The following is a 22,350-nucleotide window of genomic DNA, read 5'->3' as shown; positions in this document are numbered from 1 at the left end:
TGGGTGTTTCTTCTGCCTGCTGTGCCGCTGTGCCACTGTGCCACTGCGCCACGGCAAATGATTTGCTGACTATCATCTCTGTGGGGAACTAAACTGGGATGTTGGGAACTAACCTTGAAGACATTACACTAAGTGAAATAAGCCAGTCACAAAAGGACAAATACTGTACGGCTCCACTTACACCTGGAGTAGTCAAATTCATAAAGACAGAAAGTACAATGGGGGTTCTGAGGGGCTTGCGGGGGATAGGGAACAATAGGAAGTTAGTATCTAAAGGGGACAGAATTTTAGTTTGGAAAGATGAAAGACTTCTGGAGATGGATGGTGTTGATGGTTGCACAACAATGAGAATGTACTTAGTGCCACTGGAAAGTACACTTACAAATGGTTAAGATGGTAAATTTTATGTTATATATATTTTTACCACAATAAAAAAAGTCCAAAACTCATAAAAAAGCAGGAGTGGGGTTGCGGAGGCGCTGGGCACGGATAAACTGTTTAGTTACAAGGATCCAATTCTGGAAGTCAAAAGTAAAATGTAACACTGCTACTACAAAGGAACATCCCTGCTGAAGGTTTTTGAAATCAGAAGGTAAAGGACCAATTAAAATTTTCATGCATTCACAATCTGGTGACTAGTCGCTCCTAATAAGTGGAAAACATTCAAGATAGAAGTATTCAGAAACATAAATGCAGAGTGATGAATCTTGTGACATCTAAGCAGATCATAAGCAGACAATTTACACTGGATGTTCAGACATGATGATTTTCATATTAGGAGAATATTTGAGGCAAGGCACAGTGGATCATGCTTGTAATCCCAGCACTTTAGGAAGCCAAGACAAGAGGATCGCTTGAGCCCAGAAGTTCAAGACCAGCCTGGGCAACAAACTGAGACACCGTCTCTACAAAAATTTAAAAAATTAGCACAGCATGGTGGCACATGCCAATGGTCCCAGCTACACGGGAGGCTGAGGCAGGAGGATTGCTTGAGCCCAGAAGGTCAAGGCTGCAGTGAACTGTGATCACGCCACTGTACTCCAGCCTGGGCAACAGACTGAGATCCTGTCTCAAATATGTATGTATGTATGTATATATGTATGTATGTATTAGTTATATAGCATGTATTTGTTATACAGTATGTGTGTATTTGTTACATAGTATGTGTGTATTTGTCATCAGTAGGCTTCACCTTTCCATGATGACACTTGGCCATTTACAGTCATAGAATTGCTCTGGCAAATCTGATGCTTATAGAATGACTCCTATGCCATGATGACACACAGAAAGTCAGAGTAAACCTAGGTCATGTGTTTCTGATTTACAGCCTGTCTCTCAGTTCTGCTTCTCCTTCCTCATTGTAACCCACTCACTTGAGTAGAAAAATAAACTAATGATTTTCTAGATGTTGCCCTTATCCACACTCCCACAATTCCACCAGGATCAATAATCAGTTTCGGAAAAGCGCTTGGCTTCTTCAATTTGTAAAACCACTAGCTCCTTTTATCATCAACTAGCTCCTTTTATCATCACTCTAAATGGCTGGGTCAGCTTATAAATGACACCAAGAATTTCCATTAAAACAACAGGCCTTTCAAGTAGCTCTTCCCCTTAAAGACGGAGAAATGAGGGACACAGCACAGGAGAGCGTTTCTAATGAGCTGATCTCTTAATGACGGGGTGTCAAAAGCAGAGCAGAATTCATGGCAACTGAATTTGATTTGCCTGTATTTTCCCTGAATCTCTCCACAAGAAGGATATTTCGGCTTAAAACAATCATCAAATAAATGCATGTCCCTTGTCTGTGTCATCATTTCATTGAATTAGAAAGTTTTTCTTTACTTACCAAGAGAACAAAGAGAAACTCTTACCGAAAGATTTCTTCTGAAGGGTGAGATTTTAAGCTTAAAGGTTTTAAGCACTCTTTAATGAACACAAAAAAATTTAAAAAAAATCCAGAATTTATCATTTAGATCCTGGGGGAACCCTATCTATCTACTGTTCAAAGCCAACAACAATGGCACTATTAGCTAGACTGATTTTTATATACACAAGGCCCTCCATATCATGGGTTCAACCAACTGATGATTAAAAATATAGAAAAAAAAAGTAAGCAGAGGTTTATTTCCTTGTCATTATTCCCTAAACAATACGGTATAATAACTACTTACATAGCATTTACATTGTATTAGGTATTATAAATAATCTAGACATGATTTAAAGTACACGGGAGGAAATGCAGAGGTTATATGCAAATACTATGCCATTTTATATCAGAGACTTGAGCATCCATGGATTTCGGTATTGTGGGGGTCCTGGAACCAATTGCCTGTGGAAATGAGGAAATGACTATATTAAAAAATCATAGGATACTTTAGAAAGCAAGGTCTGCCATGTTCAAAAGGATCCTTACATACTGTAGTCTATGAAAAAGAAGACCTGATCTAGGACCTTGGTTGAACGTAATTGAATTTCGCAGTGAAAAATCCAAGAGTTTCGTTTGTTCCTTAAGTTCATCACATAATTTTGTTTGAGAATGGCTTTTTGTTTATTGTTTTTAAATTAACTTTTTTTTTCTTAAAAAAGGATTGGGAATTAAGTGACATAAGTATTCTTACTGTTTAACAAATTCAGAACATCAAAATTGTTAACTCTAATGGTGCTTTGAAGTAACTACCACTTCCATAACTATGAGTAAAATTAACACCAATAGGGCTAAAAAAGCAAGAGTGGCCATAATCAAGTACTCTGTGTCACTGAGGATCCCAGAAGAAAAGCTTTCACTTTAGTTCTGTCATGTTCTCATTTACTCTGGCATGCCTGCTGTCTTGGACCCCTATTTGACGGCCCAGAGAAACTGAAGTCAGCAAGAGATTAAATGAAAATAATTTGGTTTGAAATAAAGACATGCGACACTAGAATAACTGTGGGTAGAAAAATTCATTCTCTGGCTTGAGGTGAGAAAAAAGGACCAAAACTGTGGGAATTGCATTAAAAGCAAACATTCCTTTATTTTGCTAGATGAATAAACTGTCAAAGTTAACAAAATGTGTATGTGTACACATACATGTGCAAATACTGAGTGTGACTTAAGCATCAACAATGCAGAAGCAGTCCTGGTTTCTAATGAACTATACCTTGTAGAAAGGTGTTTTCCTGGGCCCCGTACTCTTTGGAGAGTTGGGTGTGTAACATCAGCCTATCTGTGCAGGATTACGTCTTTCTCATGCTGTCCGTGAAGTGTAAGAACCGTGGGTCTGGTTTTGTTTTTTCACTCCTCTTTTGATAAATTCTAAAACGTTTCTCTCATCCCTTTCCTAATTTGCTATTTGGCATGTGAACTAATTGTGAAATAATAAGGCCCTATCAACTCTGCTCTTTCAAAAGAAAGTGCTGACATGTCATGCTGCCCCAGCGAGCAGTATCAAAGGAAAAGTGCTGACAAGACCTAAAAGAAACTGAGGGAGGTATTAACATAATTAATAGATTTTCTTTAGCCTGACGATTAGTAGTTTTGGCACTGGCAAAAGGAACCATTTAGGTCAGTATTTTTCAAACTGTGCCTTTGTTGCACAGTAAAAGATACATTCTTATGGCAACCAATATTACATATCAAATACATAAAATATAATAAAAACAATAAATAAAAGTATATACCTAAAATAAAAGTTTCGTGAAACAGTACTTACCATTGCATCTCATGTTCTCTACTTTTCGGTTTCATTTTTTGGAAAAAATTGGTTATAATCCACCATATTGATTTCATAATGTATTATTGGGATGTGAGGCTCATAATATGAAAACCACTCTTGTTTATCCAATTTACAATGAAGGAAAGGATCAAGTGGAAATGGGGAGATCCTTTAGTTTGGAATTGTAGCATTGGAAGTAAAGGACAAAGGGAGAAGGGTGGGTCCACCCCTCCCTGCAAAAGAGATCCCACTAGGGCAATGAATGTGTTACCAACTTGCTTAACTTGAGGGACAGGAAGCAAGAAGTCTTCCAGGATTTTCTCCTTGAATTGGCTGGTAGGAAATACAGTCAATGGGATTTACACTATTACATTTAGGCACTGAGGTCAGAGAATTTGCTTTCAAATCCAAAGAAGAGCCATCAAAGAGAAAGCAAACTAGGTCTAGAGACAGCAGAGAGCAGAGGAGAGGGTCACATAGCACAATACAAAACTAGCAGACAGATTTCAAATGAAATTAAAAAGTGAATGATAAGTCATACCTTTTTAGATTTATTTTGGAGGGTATATCCTCTGTACCAACCTGTCAGAGCAAAAGAGAACACAAAATATTTTATGTTTTCTGGGATATCATAAAGTTATTAGCAATATATACTCTCATGTTCTATTAGCAATACTGGGATACAACAGTTGACAGAGACAATTAACAGTACGTTAGAAGATGAATGTTTTAGTTTATTACACAAGAAAAATCTAACTGTATTTTAGAGCTGTATTCTCTTAATAACAATTGGATTTAAAATTCACTTAGAACCTAGCCTCATCTCTACTCCTTTGGAGGAAGAATAGAACAATAGCAAAAAAAACCAACAAGACAGCCCGTTTCTTATCACCCTAATACCTTACAGTCATTTAATAAATGTTTTTGCATGAATAAATATGGACTTTCATTGTATACATGCTTTCTACATGTCACCTTATACTATTAAAATATATATTTTTAAATAAATTATATTTGCTGTAACTCTTCTGAGTTCCCAGGTTAAGAACCACTATTCTGGAAAAATTTTAAATTGAACTAGCAGATCTTATGAAGACAAATATTTGCACTTTAAAAATAATCCAAATAATGAAATAATAAAACAAAATTACGTGCAATTCTTGGTAATGCTAAAAGCAACATCCCCCCGCCACCCCCATAAAAAGATCTTATGCGTTTGTTTGCTGAGGCTTTAGGTAAAGGCTTTAACTTCTTTTTAAAAATTCCAGCCGGGCACGGTGGCTCACGCTTGTAATCCCAGCACTTTGGGAGGCTGAGGCAGGTGGATCATGACGTCAGAAGTTTAAGACCAGCCTGGCCAACATAGTGAAACCCCGTCTCTACTAAAAATATAAAGATTAGCCAGGTGTGGTGGTGTGCCCCTGTAATCCCAGCTACTCAGGAGGCTGAGGCAGGAGAATCTCTTGCACCTGGGAGGCGGAGGTTGCAGTGAGCCGAGATTATACCACTGCACTCCAGCCTAGGCAACAGAGCGAGACTCCGTTTCCAAAAAAAAAAAAATTCCAATAAAGGTACACACCCCTATAGATGTTTTCCAACCCTCTATCTTGTGGAGAGTAGACAATTTACTCTGTCCATAAACAGATTTTTTATATTAACTATTTGCTGAACACCTACTGTAGGAAGTTCACTGTAATAATTTCCCTCATTCCCCATGCCCATCAACTAAAGCATCAGTGTGGTCATCTTGCCCAGGTAAACCTTGTGGTATCAGGTTGGTGCAAAAGAAACTGCAGTTTTTGCCACTGAAAGTAACGGCATACACGTATAAGGTAGCCATATATACACAGTGAGTAGATGCAAACTGTAATTAAAACTTCTGGCATCTGCCAATAGGATCCTAGAACTCTCTTGTAATTTGTTCTACATGAAATCAACCAAAAAATAGACACATACTCTACTTCGTGCATGTTATGGGTAGAAAACTGAACTTATCTTCTTTGGGCATATATTCAATAATATTTTCACAAATATTGTAAAAGTAGTATTTCATAAATATTTTAAACTGTGGCATTCAGACATTGAAAGGATTTGCTACATTTTACAGGGAGGCGTGGGGTACTATGCTGTGGAATTGTGGCTTGCATCAAGGCACATGGCTGAGAAAAAGATATCTAAACAGGAAACACTTCCCCCGATTTAGGATGCCAAGGTGTAAGAGATTCAGGAATAAGAAGGATACTAAGCTAAGCATTTCTCCCCAGGTCTCAAGGTCTGTACCCATCTGTATATACTTGCTTGGTTCTGTGAAAACATGAAAATGGGCTTTTGCATGAATAAATGGCTTCGAATTCACCCTGGGAAAAGGGCAGAGTGGGAGGCGGGCAGGCTGAGAAACAAGATATTCATCTTTTCCAAACAGTTTTCATCGTTCTGTGCCCTATAAAGCCAAGCTGTCACAATACAAACTTCATTCCACTTTCAAAGAAGAATTTATCTGTACGTTTGTAAACAGTATTTTGCACAACCATTCATCACGGAATTATGCTTCCTAAGCCTGTCATTGTTGAAAAAACTTTTTTTTTTAACCTCCTATGTCTTCTCTAGAATTGTGGTGTGTGTGTAAGCCCTACCTAAAGGCACAAAATTATCATGCTGAATTTGTAAACGTGAATGTTCATTTTCCTTGCATCAGGTATGAGAGAACAGATCTATCTCTGGAGTTTTAAGCGTATACTGTCAGAACTCCATAAATTCAATTTTAATAACTGCACAGAATATGGTAATAGTTCACAAATATGTTTGCTCATTTCCACATTACATACCTGGGTTGTCATACAAGCAAGAATCCAGTTTTCCAATTAATCCCGCGTATTTACAGTAAGACAATCATAATTAAATATAGCTTGATATTAGACTTAAGAAGGCATAATGCTGTAATCCCAGCACTTTGGGAGGCTGAGGCGGGCGGATCACGAGGTCAGGAGATCGAGACCATCCTGGCTATCACGGTGAAACCCCGTCTCTACTAAAAATACAAAAAATTAGCCGGGCGTGGTGGCGGGTGCCTGTAGTCCCAGCTACTAGGGAGGCTGAGGCAGGAGAATGGGGTGAACCCAGGAGGCGGAGCTTGCAGTGAGCCGAGATAGTGCCACTGCACTCTGGCCTGGGTGAAAGAGCGAGACTCCATCTCAAAAAAAAAAAAGAAGGCATAATGCAAAGAGGAAGTGATGGGCATATCAGTAGCTGCAATCGGTGGGTGGTGTGAAGTGGTCCGCAGGATCTCAGATGCTTTAAGTTATTACACCATTAAAATAAAGGGAATCGTGAGGGGATAATGAGTCCAGAGGGCCACTCTTGCCTACATTTAGGGGAAATGACAGTTGCAAAAAGCAAATTCATGGCAACCATGGTGAACACCAACGTATTCTATGCTGAGGGTTGCTCTTTCGCTAGGCTCACAAGTCTTTTCTGCTTTCTTGGGATTGCTCTAATCCAGAATAAAAATCTGTCCTCTCCAACTGAAAATAACAGAGAGTTGCTAATTCCACTGTCAAAATTATTTACTTTAAATCTGGCTTCTCAAGTAATCTCCATCAGTCAGGACTCTTATCTGCTCCATTTCACTTCACCTATCCAAATGTCTCTCTGGCTCCTGCACACTTTCTGTCCAACAGATCTCTTCCCTGATTCTTCTCCTCGCTACATGCAGTCATTCTACAAATCTTTATTAAACACTAATTAAGAACCATGACATAATGGAAAGCAAGAGTTCACATGAAGATTACACTCTAATGTTAAAAATATACACAAGTAGAATGACCTGAGATAATGACAGTGCTAAGAGGAAGAAGTGCTCAAGAAAAGTAATATGGCAGAGAATGGTTGGTAACATGGCACATTATTTTAGATACGGTGACCAAGGACAGATTACTCTAAGAAGCTAAAAGGAATGAGCCATTAACAGATCTGGGCAAAGAAACTTCCAGACAGAAACAAATCAAGCGAGGAAGTTGTGAGGCAAGAATAAGCCTGAAGTTCAAAGAAAGAAGAAAAATGTCATTGCCAGAGTTCAGCGCAAGAGACTGAAATGGGGAGAGGCAATACGAAGGTAGTTAGAGGAGGCCTGGTTCTCAACCCTGGGCACCCGTGAGACCCACCAGGAACTTTTACAAACACTGATGCCTAGTCCACACCACCAAATATTCTGATTTAACTGGTCTGGGGTGAGGCCCAGACTTAATGCTTCTAAAAGGTCCCCTGGTGATGCTAATGTGTAGCCAAGATTAATTACCAGACACAGGTATTATATGCCATGGAGATGGTGATGCCAATGTGTAGCCAAGATTAATTATCAGACACAGGTATTATATGCCATGGAGATGGTGATGCCAATGTGTAGCCAAGATTAATTACCAGACACAGGTATTATATGCCATGGAGATGGTGATGCTAATGTGTAGCCAAGATTAATTATCAGACACAGGTATTATATGCCATGGAGAAATTCAAGTTTTATTCTAAGTACAGCAGGAAGCGTTGGAGGGTTTCAAATGTCATCATGCCTTATGTTTTTTTTGTTGTTGTTGTTTTTTGTTTTTTGAGACAGTCCTGCTCTGTCACCCAGGCTGGAGTGCAGTGGTGCAATGTTGGTTCACTGCAACCTCCTCCTCCCAGGTTCAAGAAATTCTCATGGTTCATCCTTCTCAGTAGCTGGGATTACAGAGGTGTGCCACCATGCCTAGCTTATTTTTTGTATTTTAAGTAGAGACAGGGTTTCACCACGTTGGCCAGACTGGTCTTGAACTCCTGACCTCAATTGATCCACCAGCCTCGGCCTCCCAAAGTGCTGGGATTACAGGCGTGAGCCACTGTGCCTGGCTGCCTTAGGCTTTTAAAAGAGCATCCTTGCTGCTATATGGGAATGGATTGTGGGATGTGAGGTGTAGTAGCAAGAGGAACACCAAAGGGGAGTGGTGGGTGCAGTGAAGAGGAAGAGAGATGAAAAAAATGTAGGATATATACATTGATGAGGTTTTTTTTGTTGTTTTTTTCTTGTGGCAGGATCTCACTCTGTCACCCAGACTGGAGTGCAGTGGCACAATCATGGCTCACTGCAACCTCCGCCACCCCAGCTCCATGGATCCCACCTCAGCACCCAACCCCGACCCCTGGTAGCTGGGAATACAGGTGCATGCCACCATGCCCGGCTATTTTTTGCATTTTTTATAGAGATGGCATCTCCCCATGCTGTCAGGCTGGTCTCGGACTCCTGGACTCAAGCGGTTCGCCTGCCTAGACCTCCCAAAGTGCTAGGATTATAGGCATGAGCCACCGCACCCAGACGAATGATATATATGAATCAACAGGAGTTGCTCATGATTTTGCTGGGGGTGGCCATGAATGGGGGAGTAAAGGCAAATTCTCAAAGGTATTTGTATTTTGGGCTTAAGCAAATAGGAGGACAGTAGTCTTTGGTATAGGAAGATTGAAGAAAGGAAAACCTTGGGGAATGGGAATCAGGACAGAATCAGGAGATGGATCCTGCCCCTTCTGCCGTCCCTCCTGGGCAGCTGAGTACTGAGCCATGGGGTGGAGCAGAGTGACCTGGGCATTCGCAGTGGGGGAAGGCTGCACATCCGCAGAGGGGTCCAGACTGGCATGGCATGTCAGAGCCCAGGGGGACCGAGGTGGGCATCCGTGTAAGGGAGCAGACGGGGTGTCAGAGCCTAAGTGGGGCGAGGGGGTATCCGCACATAGGACTTGGGGGTGGTGCACTGGCCTCGGATAGCTGAGCTAAAACGGGGTGAGGGGGGTGTTCCCATGGGAGACAGCATGCTAATGAGGATGAGTGATCAGTTACATACCAGGGAACTGATCAAATAGCTAAATCTATTAAAAATATGGGAAGCTAGGTTTCTTACTATTATAGAATGGAGTTATAAGCCCCAGAAGGGAAAAATCTCGAATGAACCCTGTGCTGCCGGATTGGGATTGAAGGTATCCACATGAATTCATGACTTTTTATACATGTGGATCAGTCAAAATTAACAGGTATTAATCTGTATTTATACAAATGCATACTACCCCTAGCTCTGTTGAATTACCTAGTTAGTTCCTATTTTTCTGTCCCCAAGACAGATGATAAAGAGAGCCCTCAGAAAAAGAGCTGTCACTGGGAAAGCACAACGTCCCAAACAAGGGAGGAGGACAGACGGTCCCATGAGGAATGAATCCAAGAAAAAAAAGAAACTGATAAATGATCTTATTTGTCTCAACATATTAAAAGGCAGTCAATACTCCTGTCAGCAACCTTGAGTATGAAATAGAGGTAAATTCACAGAGAATGAAGAAAAAAAGGAATTAGCTCTAGAAAAACATATTATTCAAGAAAGGAAATGTAATCAAGGTAAATCCCACAGCCTCTGCTGCTTACACTACATAGGCATAATAACCCAAATCCTAAGTGTTTAAAAAAAACTCAGGAGGTGGAGGCAGGAGAATCACTTGAACCTGGAGGTGGGGGTTGCAGTGAGCTGAGATCATGCCGCTGCATTCCAGCCTGAGAGACAGAGCCAGACTCGGTCTCAAAAAAAAAAAAAAATTGTATCTATATTTGCTTTTCTATGAGGGATTAATGGGTATCTGCATCGTTGGTGGGGTGTACAGAAGAGTGAAATCCTTATCTTCCATAGTAAGAAATGAATTTAGAAATGAAGAGATTTATGGCATAAAACATTGGCTGAAAGAGTTGAAAGACTTCTGAAAAAGTTGAAACTCCTCAGAATTCGAGAGGAGTTAAGAAGGGTCTCCTGTTTTTCGTTATAAACCTTGTAGAAATGGTCTTGATGTTTAAATTTATAAACATATATGACTGATAACATTTTAAAAAATATACCGCTGATAAACCCTGGTAGGCCAGAACTAGGCAAAGGCAAAATTATAGGGATACAAAACACATGAGTAGTTGCCAAGTGCTCAGGGTGGCATGGGGATGACTGAAAAGGGACACAGGAGAACTTGGGGGCTGACGGAATGGTTCTGTAGCTTGACCACGGTTGTGTTTCAAGATTGTATGCATTTGTCAAAACCTGCAGAATTGTACACTAAAAACGGTGAATTTTACTCTATGCAAATTATAACTCTAAAAAAAAAAGACAGTGAAATACTATCCACCCACTGCAATGGCTAAAGTTAAAAAGATTGACTGTGCCAATCACTGGTAAGGAGATGGAGCAACTGGAACTCTCTCTCATTGCTGGTGGTTTCTTATAAAGTTAAACGTACACTTATCCTATGACCTGGCCACATCCTCACTCCAGTGCTTTATAAGAATGTTTGTGAATGCTTTATTTTTAATAGTCAAAAGCTGGAATACATCAAAATGTACATCAATGGGAGTACTGACAGTGTTATATGTATATATTACTTACTATACTATAACTATGATATATAATACGTAATATAGTTATACCTGGCAATACACAGGAATGAACTACGGATGTGCAACATCATGGATGAACCCAAAAACCATTACAATAAGTGAAAGAGCCCAAACACAATAGACACATCTAATTCCACTGATATGAAGTTGACTCACAGGTAAAACTAACTCGCAGTGATCTAAACCAGATCGGTGGCTGTTTACTGAGGGTGGGAACTGTGTGGATAAAGATACCGCGGAATTTTCTGGGGTAAGGGAAATGTGTTTTATCTTGATCGGAATGTTAGGCATACAAGCTGCATTCATTTGATAAAACACATTGAATTGTAAACCTAAGATGAATGCCTTTTGTTGCTTGTAAATTTTACTGCACTTTTTCTTTAATGTAAAAATTGACACCGTCAGATGAATATTACTCTATAAAGTAACCACCTCAAAGTAACATGGAATTGCATTGCTGAAATATGACTGAATATTTTTGTTTGGAAATGCCTCTGAAACAAGTTTGAGTCATGTGTGAAAAAGCACAGAACTATTTCTCCATTACTTTACGTGGTATTTTGTCTTCCCAAAGACATTATTCATCTTAATTACTACTGCATGCTCCAAAATTCATTCTGAACAAGTTTTGCTATTTCCAGAAGTTCAACTGCAGATTGGAGATTAATTTCTCCAGTGAGCAATTAGTTACAGATGTTAGGAAAGCAGGGTATTCAATGTCTCCGTGTCCTAAATCTTACTTAATAATGGAAAGAAAAAAATATATATGTAAACACACAAGCATATAAACAAGAAAAGTAACTTCATATAGGGCTAAAAGTTATAAAGGAATAAAAGAGGCTAACCTGGGAAAGGCCAACTCCTGAGGATGGAGCTACTTTAGAAAACATGGTTAGAAAATTCTCTCTGGGCGTGGTGGCTCACATCCATAATTCCAGCACTTTGGGAGGCTGAGGTGGGAGACCAGCCTGGGGAACATAGCCAAAATCCTGTCTCCACAAAAAACTAAAAATAAAATAACTAGCCAGGTGAGGTGGCACACATTCATAGTCCTAGCTACTAGGGAAGCCAAGGTCAGAGGATCTCTTGAGCCCAGAAGTTGGAGGCTGCAGTCAGCTATGATCGCGCCACTGCACTCCAGCCTGGGCAACAGAGCAAGATTCTGTCCGTTTAAAAAAAAAAAAAAGAAAGAAAGAAAGAAAATTGTCTCTCTGAGGATGTACATTTAGGCTGAGGATTTACATTACTAATGTGGTCATTCATTCATTATACATGAAAACATTTATTGAACACCAGTGTGCCAGACATTGTCTTCAAGGAGGAAGGAAACAGATCTGTAAACAAATAACTAAATACAAAAGGGCTTTTAATGGTAATGCTTGTAGACTCTGGCACACAAAAGAGAAAGTCATGAATATGCTGAAGACTCAGAAGCAATTACTGAGAGGGACGCATGATTTCCCAACAAGAAAAGCATCATTCAGATGCTGAAATTATGGAGTGTTTTATAAAATCTCTCCCTACTTTCTGATCACAAGATAAATTAGTTTTACCCCACGTACACACATAAAAGAGCTATGTTTCTATACACCTGCATTATGTGTGTGTTTGTGGGGACTGGGCGGGGGTGGGCGGCACCCCAGAGAAGGAGCAGGTGCTAAATCCTGTTGTTTTTCCTTTAAGTGTTGCTGGTCTGGTATCTTACTGGATAAAACACAGTAAATGAGGCCAAGGGCAAAGGCTCCATCCCCTGTGGGCCAGGTAAGCTCGTCAGGTTTCCACGGGCATATCCTGTCCTCCCATCCCCGGTGAGCTGTCCTTCCAATAGAAGCTGATTGTCTCTTGGGAAGCCAGTGAGCAGAAACTGCTGGGTGCAAACTCGTCACAGGACAGACAAAGGGCTGGGTCTAAAATCCTTCCTTACAGACAGTGGCTGCACCTCTCCCTGTGCACAGCACACTCACCGCCTTCCTGAGCCTCAGGTCTCAAGATGTCCGCACTCCACATGGAACTCACTGGGGCTTTTGAAAATAAGTTCAAAGGCAGAAAGTCAAGGGATGCAAAGATGGTAAAAGATGATTCTATTCTTTTGTACTTCTTGGTGAGACAAATGAGTCTTCCAGGTTAATTATCTGAGCTCAATTTTGTGGATTTGAGATAGCCAGATATTGGAAAGAACTCACAGCTCACTAAAATATAACAACCTTACTTAAAACAAAGGAGGCCAGGTGCGGTGGCTCACACCTGTAATCCCACCACTTTGGGAGGCCAAGGCAGGAGGATCGCTTGAGGACAGGAGTTCAAGACCAGCCTGGGCAACATAGTAAGACCTTGTCTCTAAAAAAATTTTTTTTAAATCAGCCAGGCCTGGTGATGATGTATGCCTGTAGTCCCAACTACTCAGGAAGCTGAGGCGGGAGGATCACTTGAGCTCAGGAAGTTGAGCCTGCAGTAAGTCATGATGGTGCCACTGTGTTCTACCCTAGGTGATAGAGCAAGACTGCCTCTTAAAACATAAAATAAAAAGTAAATAAATTAATTAAAGAAAGAAAACATAGTTAAGGAACTGAAAAGGTTTGTCCCATATCACCCAGCTACTTACTACCTAAGCTGGGGATACAAACACAGGCCTCCTACCTGCCAGCTCATTGCTTTACCTTATACCAAGCTAGCCCACGGCCCTGCTGGGGCACAGTAGACAGGACACTTTCTCAATGCGCCACCCCTCAGGTCAGGTGAGCTTGGCCATGGAATTCTATCAGTATAAAACACACACGCATAGGCACACCATCTAAGTGAAAAAGGAGATAAGTCTTCTGGCTTTATTTATTCATTCATGCATTCATTCATTTATTCATTCTTTGAGACAGAGTCTCGCTCTGTCACCCAGACTGGCGTACAGTGGCATGATTTCACCTCACTGCAACCTCCGCCCCCCCGGGCTCAAGCAATTCTCCTGCCTCAGCATCCTGAGTAGCTGGGATTACAGGCATGCACCACCAAGCCCAGCTAATTTTTGTATTTTTAGTAGAGACAGGATTTCACCATATTGGCCAGGCTGGTCTTAAACTCTTGACCTCAAGTGATCCACTCACCTCAGCCTCCCAAAGTGCTGGGATTACAAGCGTGAGCCACTGTGTCCGGTCTATTTAATTTTTTTAATGATCAAAACAGGGAACTGTCCTTCGCAGTGCCTGGCATGCAGCAGGCACTGAGTAAACATCTGATGAATATAGCAATGAGAAAGACAGGTGTTCTTGAGCCACTGGCTAGGTATAGAATAGACTGCTGTAAGGAATATGCAATGAAACCTGCACCCACAAGACACACTTGGATAGCAGGGTCTGAGTGACCCTTCTTTGTTCTCCTGGGATCCCATGCCCAGTGGGCAGAGACAGGCAGCGCTAAAGCACCCTGCCTACACGGCCAGAATGCCCAGAATAGAGGAGCCATTGCTTCTTTATAAAGAGAGCTTGTGTGACACCAAAAGGCCTGGTTCTCCATCCTAGCTCCACAGTAACCAGCTCTGGGGGACTCCATTTTTTTCCCTTGTCAATTTTAAGTAATTACAGTTTAAATCTCTTAAATTTCATTCCACAAAAACATTACAATATTTTTAATCTTGTTACCCCATAACATCTGTAGCAAAGAATGCCAAGAAGGTTTATTCTGGTTGCCTATCACAGAGGGTGATAGCAGAGATTTCTATTTGCAACCAGTAAATACCTTCTGAGACAAGCAGAGAGACCTGGTCCAGGCAGTGAGGGATGAGGAAGAGGACCAAATCACAGTCAGCAAAATAGAGAGATGATATATCCAAATTTCCACTGCAAAACAAGGAAACCTCCCTCTGTGCCTTCACAGAGCCCTGGAAGCTCAGTGAGAGGAAGGAAATAACACTTCCTGTAGCCTGGACAACATCATCTACTTTTTGGCCAATTCGCTTTATATTTTCTGGATGTGGTTTTTCTTTCTTTCCTTTTTAAAGCAAAGTAATCTTGCCAGCGGTTAGTCCTTCTTGCTAAAAGTCTAACTTTCCTCTTCTGTGGTGCATTTCTCTAGCTTATCCAAGCAGTCAAGAAAGCTGAGATGACAGGAGGTAGCATGTGGTTTTGTCAGTAGGAGCAATGAATTTGCTGCAACTCACTCTTATGCTGGTTTTGTTATCATCAGCATGACTTCGAAAGACGAATGAGAGAGATGTACAATTAATCAACCAACATGAGGCCCACTTTTTATAAAGAGTTATGCTAGAGGCTATGGGACCTCAAGGAATTTGAGAGTATAACCCCAATCCCTGATCTCCCTCCAGGACAGCAACGAGACCACTGGGTAAGAGTGGCAAGTTTGTGTGCCAAGAGCCATGGAGGGGAGCTAAGTTCAGAAAGAGCTCACCGCAATACAGACACATTTGGGGTGCTGCTGAACTTTTCAGGTGGCTATTTCAAAAGCAAAACAACCCTAACCCCTTTGGAAAACTTTATGTCGTGTCCAAAAGTATAAACGTCATTTGCTAAAGGGCTGCATGTTGTGGAAAGAACAATATACTAGGATTCCACAGGACCCCAGTGGGAATCACAGCTCTGCCATTTAATAGCTGCATGAATTTCTTCAAGTTTCTTAACCTAAATCTCCACATTGATTAAAAGAGCATCAATAATTCTGGTCTCCCAGGATTGTAAGAACTGAGAGGCAGTACATGAAAGGCCGTAGCTCGATGCCTGGCATAGAGAGGGATGTAAAATGTCAGACACGGAAGGTACACAATGGCACAGTTCAGGGACCAACGGCAGTGCTTAGGTCTGTCTTCTGGTTCCTGTGCTGTGGGGGGCTCTATTTGGAGTTCTTTTTTACTTATTTTTTTGAAGAATGTGTCTGTGCTCCTCAAAAAGAACAGAACCTCTCTCAACTACTTAAATTACTGCCAACAACCAAAGCTGAGACACACAAAACAGCTAGAATACCATGCTAGGGGTGTCCAGACTATAGTACCTGATATGAAGACATAATTTTATTTTCCAGCATAACTTCCCTACTCCAAGAAAATGGTAGAAAAGATGACTTTAAAAGAAAGAGGACCAAAAAAAAAAAAGTCAAGAAGAAACAATTTGAGTGATAGAAAAACCCTAAGACTGTGGCTAGAATAATCGAGAAACATGGCACTGAGTAACCAGGGCCTTGGCAGAGACCAAATGGGGCCAAACTCAAAAGTTACCCAAATTGGTTATCTAAGGCCTGATTAAACACTTAGTGTCAGCAATGAAAGTGACACTAAGAAAAAATTTCACCCTTTGTATCTTTCAATTCCAACTATAACAGATTCTTTTTTTTTTTTTTTTTTTTTGAGATGGAGATTCGCTCTGTCGACCAGGCTGCAGTGCAGTGGTGCAATATTGGCTCACTGCAACCTCTCCTTCCCAGGTTCAAGTGATTCTCTTGCCTCAGTCTCCCAAGTAGTTAGGATTACAGGCACACTCCACCACACCCAGCTAATTTTTGTATTTTTAGTAGAGACGGGTTTTCGCCATGTTGGCCAGGCTGGTCTTGAACTCCTAACCTCAAGTGATCCACCCGCCTCAGCCTCCCAAAGTGTTGGGATTACAGGCTTGAGCCATTGCACCCGGCCTGTAACAGATTCTTACACTGGCATTGGTGAAAACTAAACAAGTATTCAAGGTTAGTAATGTAATACTCATTGTTCCTGCCATTTAGAAGATTAACCAAATTGCTAGATACAGTTGTTTAAAATCCTATATTCCTATTGGAAAAGTTAAACACACACACACATATCTAATATTCTTGGTTGCATGACAAACATTAGGAACAGATACACAGAATATAATAGTAAGACTAAGAATCTTTCTGTAACTAGAAACTTTCCTGTGTTGCCTTGTCCATTCTTATTTGTAGCTTGAATTATACCTGGAGATGAGGCAAGGAAGAGAAGTGAAGTTTTCATGGGTTTCTAAGACCCATCAATAAAACACAAGTTTTTTAGGCAGTCTGTTTCCTGCTACTATGACCATTTCTGTTGAATCATTCAACTCCATGGGTGAAACAGAATGGGTGTACTCAAGCACAGAGTTAATATTTATGACACAGAAGTCTCCTTATATGCTTAAAAATTTTTAATAGCCTTTAATTTGTAGAGCAATTTTAGGTCCACAGCAAAACTGAGCAGAAGGTACAGAAAGTTATCATATACCTCTTGTCCCCTGACAAGACATCCCTGCTATCAACATACCCCACCAGAGTGGTACATTTATTGCAATCAAACCTACACTGACACATCATTATCACCCAAAGTCCATAGGTTACATTGGGGTCCACTGTTGGTGTTGTGCCTTCTATGGGTATGGACAAATGTATAATGACATGATTCCACCATTACAGTATCATACAGAGTAGATTTACTGCTCTAAAAATTCCCTGTGCTCTACCTCTTCATCCCTCCTTCCCTCTAACCCCTGGCAACCACGAATCTTTTTACCATCTCCATAGTTTTTCCTTATCCAGAATGTCATATAGTTGGAATCATGTGGATTGACTCTTTTTACTTAGTAACATGCATATCTATGTCTTTTTATGGCTTGATAACTCATTTCTTTTTAGCGCTGAATGATACTCCATTGTCTGGATGTAACACTGTGTTTATCCATTCACCTACTGAAGAACATCTTGTTTACTCCCACATTTTGGCAATTATGAATAAAGCTGCTACAAACATCTATGTGCATGCTTTTGTGTGGGTGTAAGTTTTCAACTCCTTTGGGTAAATACCAAGGACAGAAATTGCTGCATTGTGTGATGAGAGTGTGTTTAGCTTTCTAAGACACTAACAAACTGTCTCCCAAAGTGGCTGTACCATTTTGCATTCCCATCAGCAATGAATGAGAGTTCCTGTTGCTCCACATCCTTGGCAGCATTTGGTGTTGTCAGTATTCTGGAGTTTGGCCATTTTAATAGGTGCACAGTAGTATCTCATTACTTTAATTTTCAATTCTCTAATGATATATGATGCTGAATATCTTTTCACACACTTACATGCCATATGGATATATATCTTCCTTAGCGAGGTTTCTGTGAAGGTCTTTGCCCATGTTTTAAGTGGGTTGTTTTCTTATTGTTGGATTTTAAAGCTCTTTATACGTTTTAGATAATAGTCCTTTATCAAATGTTTTTTTTTTTTGTTTTGTTTTGTTTTTTTTTGAGACAAAGTCTTGCTTTGTCGCCAGGCTGGAGTGCAGTGGCACAATCTCGGCTCACTGCAACCTCTGCCTCCCAGGTTCAAGCAATTCTCCTGCCTCAGCCTCTCAAGTAGCTGGGATTACAGCTGGCCACCACCACGCCCGGCTAATTTTTAGCATTTTTAGTAGAGACGGGGTTTCACCATGTTGGCCAGGATGGTCTCTATCTCTTGACCTCGTGATCTGCCCACCTCGGCCTCCCAAAATGCTGAGATTACAGGTGTGAGCCACTGGGCCCACCCTCAAATTTCTCTTTTACAAAATTTTCTTCCATACTGTGGCTTAACTTCTCATTCTCTTGACATTATCTTTTGCAGAGCAGAAGTTTTAAATTTTAATAAAGTCCAGTTTATCACTTATTTCTTTCATATAACTGTGTTTTCAGTGTTATATCTAAAAAGTTACCCCCATATCAAAAGTCATTTACATTTCTCCATGTTATTATATTCTAAGAGTTTTACACCTTTATATTTTACATTTAGGTCTTGAATTTATTTTGACTTATTTTTTGTCAAGGGTGAAAGGTCTGTGTCTAAATTATTATTTCGGCATGTGGTTGTCAGGTTGTTCCAGCACGATTTGTTAAAAAGAATATCTTTTCTCTATTGTATTGCCTTTGTTCTTTGTCAAAGGTCAGCTGACTATATTTGTGTGGGTCTATTTGTGAGCTCTCTGTTCTGTTCAGTAGATTTGTTTGTCTAGTGTTCTGCCAATACCACAGTCTTGATTACTATAGCTTTATAGTAAGTTGTGAAATCAGGTAGTGTCAGTCCTCCAACTTTGTTCTTCAACTTCATGTTGGTTGTTCTGAGTCCTCTGCCTCTCCACATAACTTTAGAATCCATCTGTCGATATCCACAAAATAACTGTCTGGGATTTTAATTGGGATTGCTTTGAATCTATAAATCAACTTCAGAAGAACTGACATTTTGACATTGAGTCTCCCTACCCATGAACATGGGATAGCTTCCATTTATTTAGTATTTCAAATTCTTTCATCAATATATGCTTTTAAAGATAATAACTGACTCTTATATTACTATGGATGAAGCAGAGGCATATATTTAACTTTTTTTTCCAGATATAAGCAAGAGGAGAAGTATGATCATTTGCCCTCAATCAATTTTAAACTTTCCTCTAAGGCTTTCTCCTTACACTAATCCTTAATGAGGCTTAGCCAGCCCAACCGTGATGTTATATGGACATAACCTAACGCATTTAAAAAAAATAAAGGTTATGCACCAAATAATGTGAATGCTACAGCAATCAGGGGTGTGAAGACAGCTGTGAGCAGGTATGTGTGTGCATGGGATGGAAGGACTCTGCTCCCATTTCAACCACTTGATCCAACCAAGATCTGTTGCGGTCCAAAATCTGTGGAATGCTAAAAGCTCCTGGGAATATTCCTCCAGAGTACTCCCAAAAGCATATTTGCTTTCAGACTGAGTTTGCCTCCTTAGGTGCATAGGAGCTGCCCAAATAGGTAATTCCAAGTACTTACTCATGACAGAATAACTGAATGAAGGTACCACTCAGGAAACAGTTGTGAACTCTACAGTAGAAAATTCCATATATGCCTATACCTGAATCACGTACATTTTTAAAGATGGAATTTTAGGGTTGGTGGTTCATACCTGCAATCCCAGCACTTTGGGAGGCCAAGGTGGGCAGATCACATGAGGCCAGGAGTTTGAGGCCAGCCTAGCCAACATGGCAAAACCACGTCTCTACTAAAAATTAGCTGGGCGTGGTGGCACGTGCCTGTAATCCCAGCTACTCGGGAGGCTGAGGCATGAAAATCACTTGAACCCAGCAGGCAGAGGTTGTAGTGAGCCAAGATTGCACCACTGCACTCCAGCCTGGGAGACAGGGTAACACTCTGTCTCAAAAAAATAAATAAAGATGGAATTTTAGAATTTTAGAAGCATACTGAAACATACCTGAAAAGGAAAAATAGAAGGCATTCGCTTTTTTTAAAGATTAAATCCGAGATAAGACTTTTCACTGACACTCCTTTTAATTAATTTCTCTGGTAAACACCCTCCTACTGCCACACATATCTTTTGAAAAACACATCTCAGGAACATATGTCACCAGCAGTAGTAGCTCACAAGCTGTACTTAAGGTAAAGGTCAAACAGATGTGGGAAGTGACCAAGCACACTCAACAAAATGCCACATGGCCTTATCTGCTTTCCAGGCTAATGCCAAAATATTTGCACGCAGCGTCATAAAATCCAAGCTGTTAGGCTCACTGCCATTTATGTATGAGAAAGGCAGTATTTCTATACCTAGATCGTGGAGACTATATAGATTTTGAATTACAATAAACTTTCAATTATTTTAATTAGCGGGTAACAAAAGTAAACGGAAGTTACAAATACCTTGGACACCCCTATTGAAGCTTATATCCAGTAAACTTTTACACATTCTATTAAGAACTGATTTTTAACAGCAATTTTGAATCTTTTGTCTCTCTCTTGGCTTCTGACCACTGTGCATGGATGACCAAGTAGAGAAAGAAACAAGTAGAAAGGAGGAACAATAAAGAGATTTCAGTGTTACAGAATTAATTGTCATAGAGCATAACAGAATGTGACAATCAGACAGACATTCTCAAAACGTTAGATACCATACTGTATCATAATCCAATGCAGGGTTCCTATTACCACATCTCTAAAGGATGATGATTAAGCCTCTGTTTGAAAAAAATCTTTTAAAAGCACTCTTTTTTTTTTTTTTTTGAGATAGAGTCTTGCTGTGTCACCCAGGTTGGAGTGCAATGGCACGCGTGATCTCAGCTCACTGCAACCTCTGCCTCCCGGGTTCAAGCGATTCTTGTGCCTCAGTCTCCTAAGTAGCTGGGATTATGGGTGCACACCACCATGCCCGGCTAATTTTTGTATCTTTAGTAGAGACAGGGTTTTGCCATGTTGGCCAGACTGGTCTCAAACTCCTGGCCTCATGTGATCTGCCCGCCTCAGCCTCCTAAAGTACTGGGATTGCAGGCATGAGCTACCGCACCCAGCCCACTCTCTTCTTTTTTATATCTCTGTTAGAAAGTTTTGGCAAACATGCAGACAAAATTCATTGCCATGTAACTTACCTGTCATAACACTGCCCACTGTCCCTACTCACAAAGGCCTGCTTTATAAAAATGAGATTCAAAACACATACAGCTCAAGTCTTAATACATTTTTATTCCTTTTCATATTAGAGGGAAGTAGATTTTTTGATTAAAGTGCATTCAAAAACTAGACTTCTTCTATATAGAAGAAATAACATGGGTATTCTGGGGAACTCCTGTACGTATACAAACCCTTCTTTTTGTTTCTTTTAACTTTTCAGGTTTGCCTGTTTCCTCTGGTTCCAGTCCAAGCATTTGTGCTATCCTTCGAGTCTTTACAAATTGCCCTGAAATAATATGTGCTGTGCCTGCCTCTGTACAGTTCAGCTCACCTTTGAGACATTTCGTTGTGTTTGTTCCAACAGCGGTCAATTGTGTTGTATTTACCCCAGAAATCACTGCTAACACCAGCATACCAGCCGCCCTTTCTCGTGAGCTTGTGAGTGGTTTACGGAGCAGAAAAAGAGTTAATCGATGGATATGAATTAAACACAGGAAACCAGCACTAGAGGAACCTCAGACTCCAGGCCTAAAACCACTTGTGACTGGAGTGACGTTAATCACAGGAGAGGGGAGCTCCATGGTAACAGGATGCTGAAACCTGACACATACAAGGTACTATGCACTTTTCAAAGCACTTACATTTGATCACTCTTGACTCAAAAAGTGACTCCAATTTAGATGAAATGTCCTTGTCACAAAGACAGCTGCAATATCTTGCCCAGGGACAGTCAATCTAGACAAGGACAAAACTACCAACCTACAATAGTCTTCCGTCTCCCTCTCCATCGCTGTCCTCCACCTCTGGCCTCTGCAATACCACCCTCTTCTCCCCATAGCA

At 40.6% G+C, this 22,350-nt stretch overlaps 1 protein-coding gene across 2 annotated transcripts in view, besides 1 other annotated feature; it reads right to left on the bottom strand.

The window, feature by feature from the left end:
- The window catches only part of DOCK5 (dedicator of cytokinesis 5), a 231,023-nt gene that overhangs the window by 142,593 nt on the left and 66,080 nt on the right, over nucleotides 1-22,350 (bottom strand). The window contains exons 3-4 of one of the 2 annotated variants that reach the window (NM_001322810.2): nucleotides 4,234-4,274; nucleotides 1,898-2,329 (exon numbers count right to left, since the gene is read on the bottom strand). In NM_001322810.2, coding sequence (NP_001309739.1) covers nucleotides 2,246-2,329; nucleotides 4,234-4,274 — 125 coding nt within the window. In that variant the 3' untranslated portion in view covers nucleotides 1,898-2,245. Of the gene's footprint in view, nucleotides 1-1,897; nucleotides 2,330-4,233; nucleotides 4,275-22,350 lie in introns of those variants that run through there. The other variant, NM_024940.8, reaches the window with a different exon arrangement.
- Nucleotides 11,279-11,479: a silencer, noted in NCBI's record as "peak6954 fragment used in MPRA reporter construct". NCBI's record gives its function as "represses an SCP1 promoter by STARR-seq MPRAs in K562 erythroleukemia cells {active_cell/tissue: K562}" and the evidence as "EXISTENCE:reporter gene assay evidence [ECO:0000049][PMID:32103011]".

The sequence above is a fragment of the Homo sapiens genome, chromosome 8, assembly GCF_000001405.40.
Source record: "Homo sapiens chromosome 8, GRCh38.p14 Primary Assembly".
NCBI lineage: Eukaryota > Metazoa > Chordata > Mammalia > Primates > Hominidae > Homo > Homo sapiens.
This window is presented reverse-complemented; position numbering and strand designations above follow the sequence as displayed.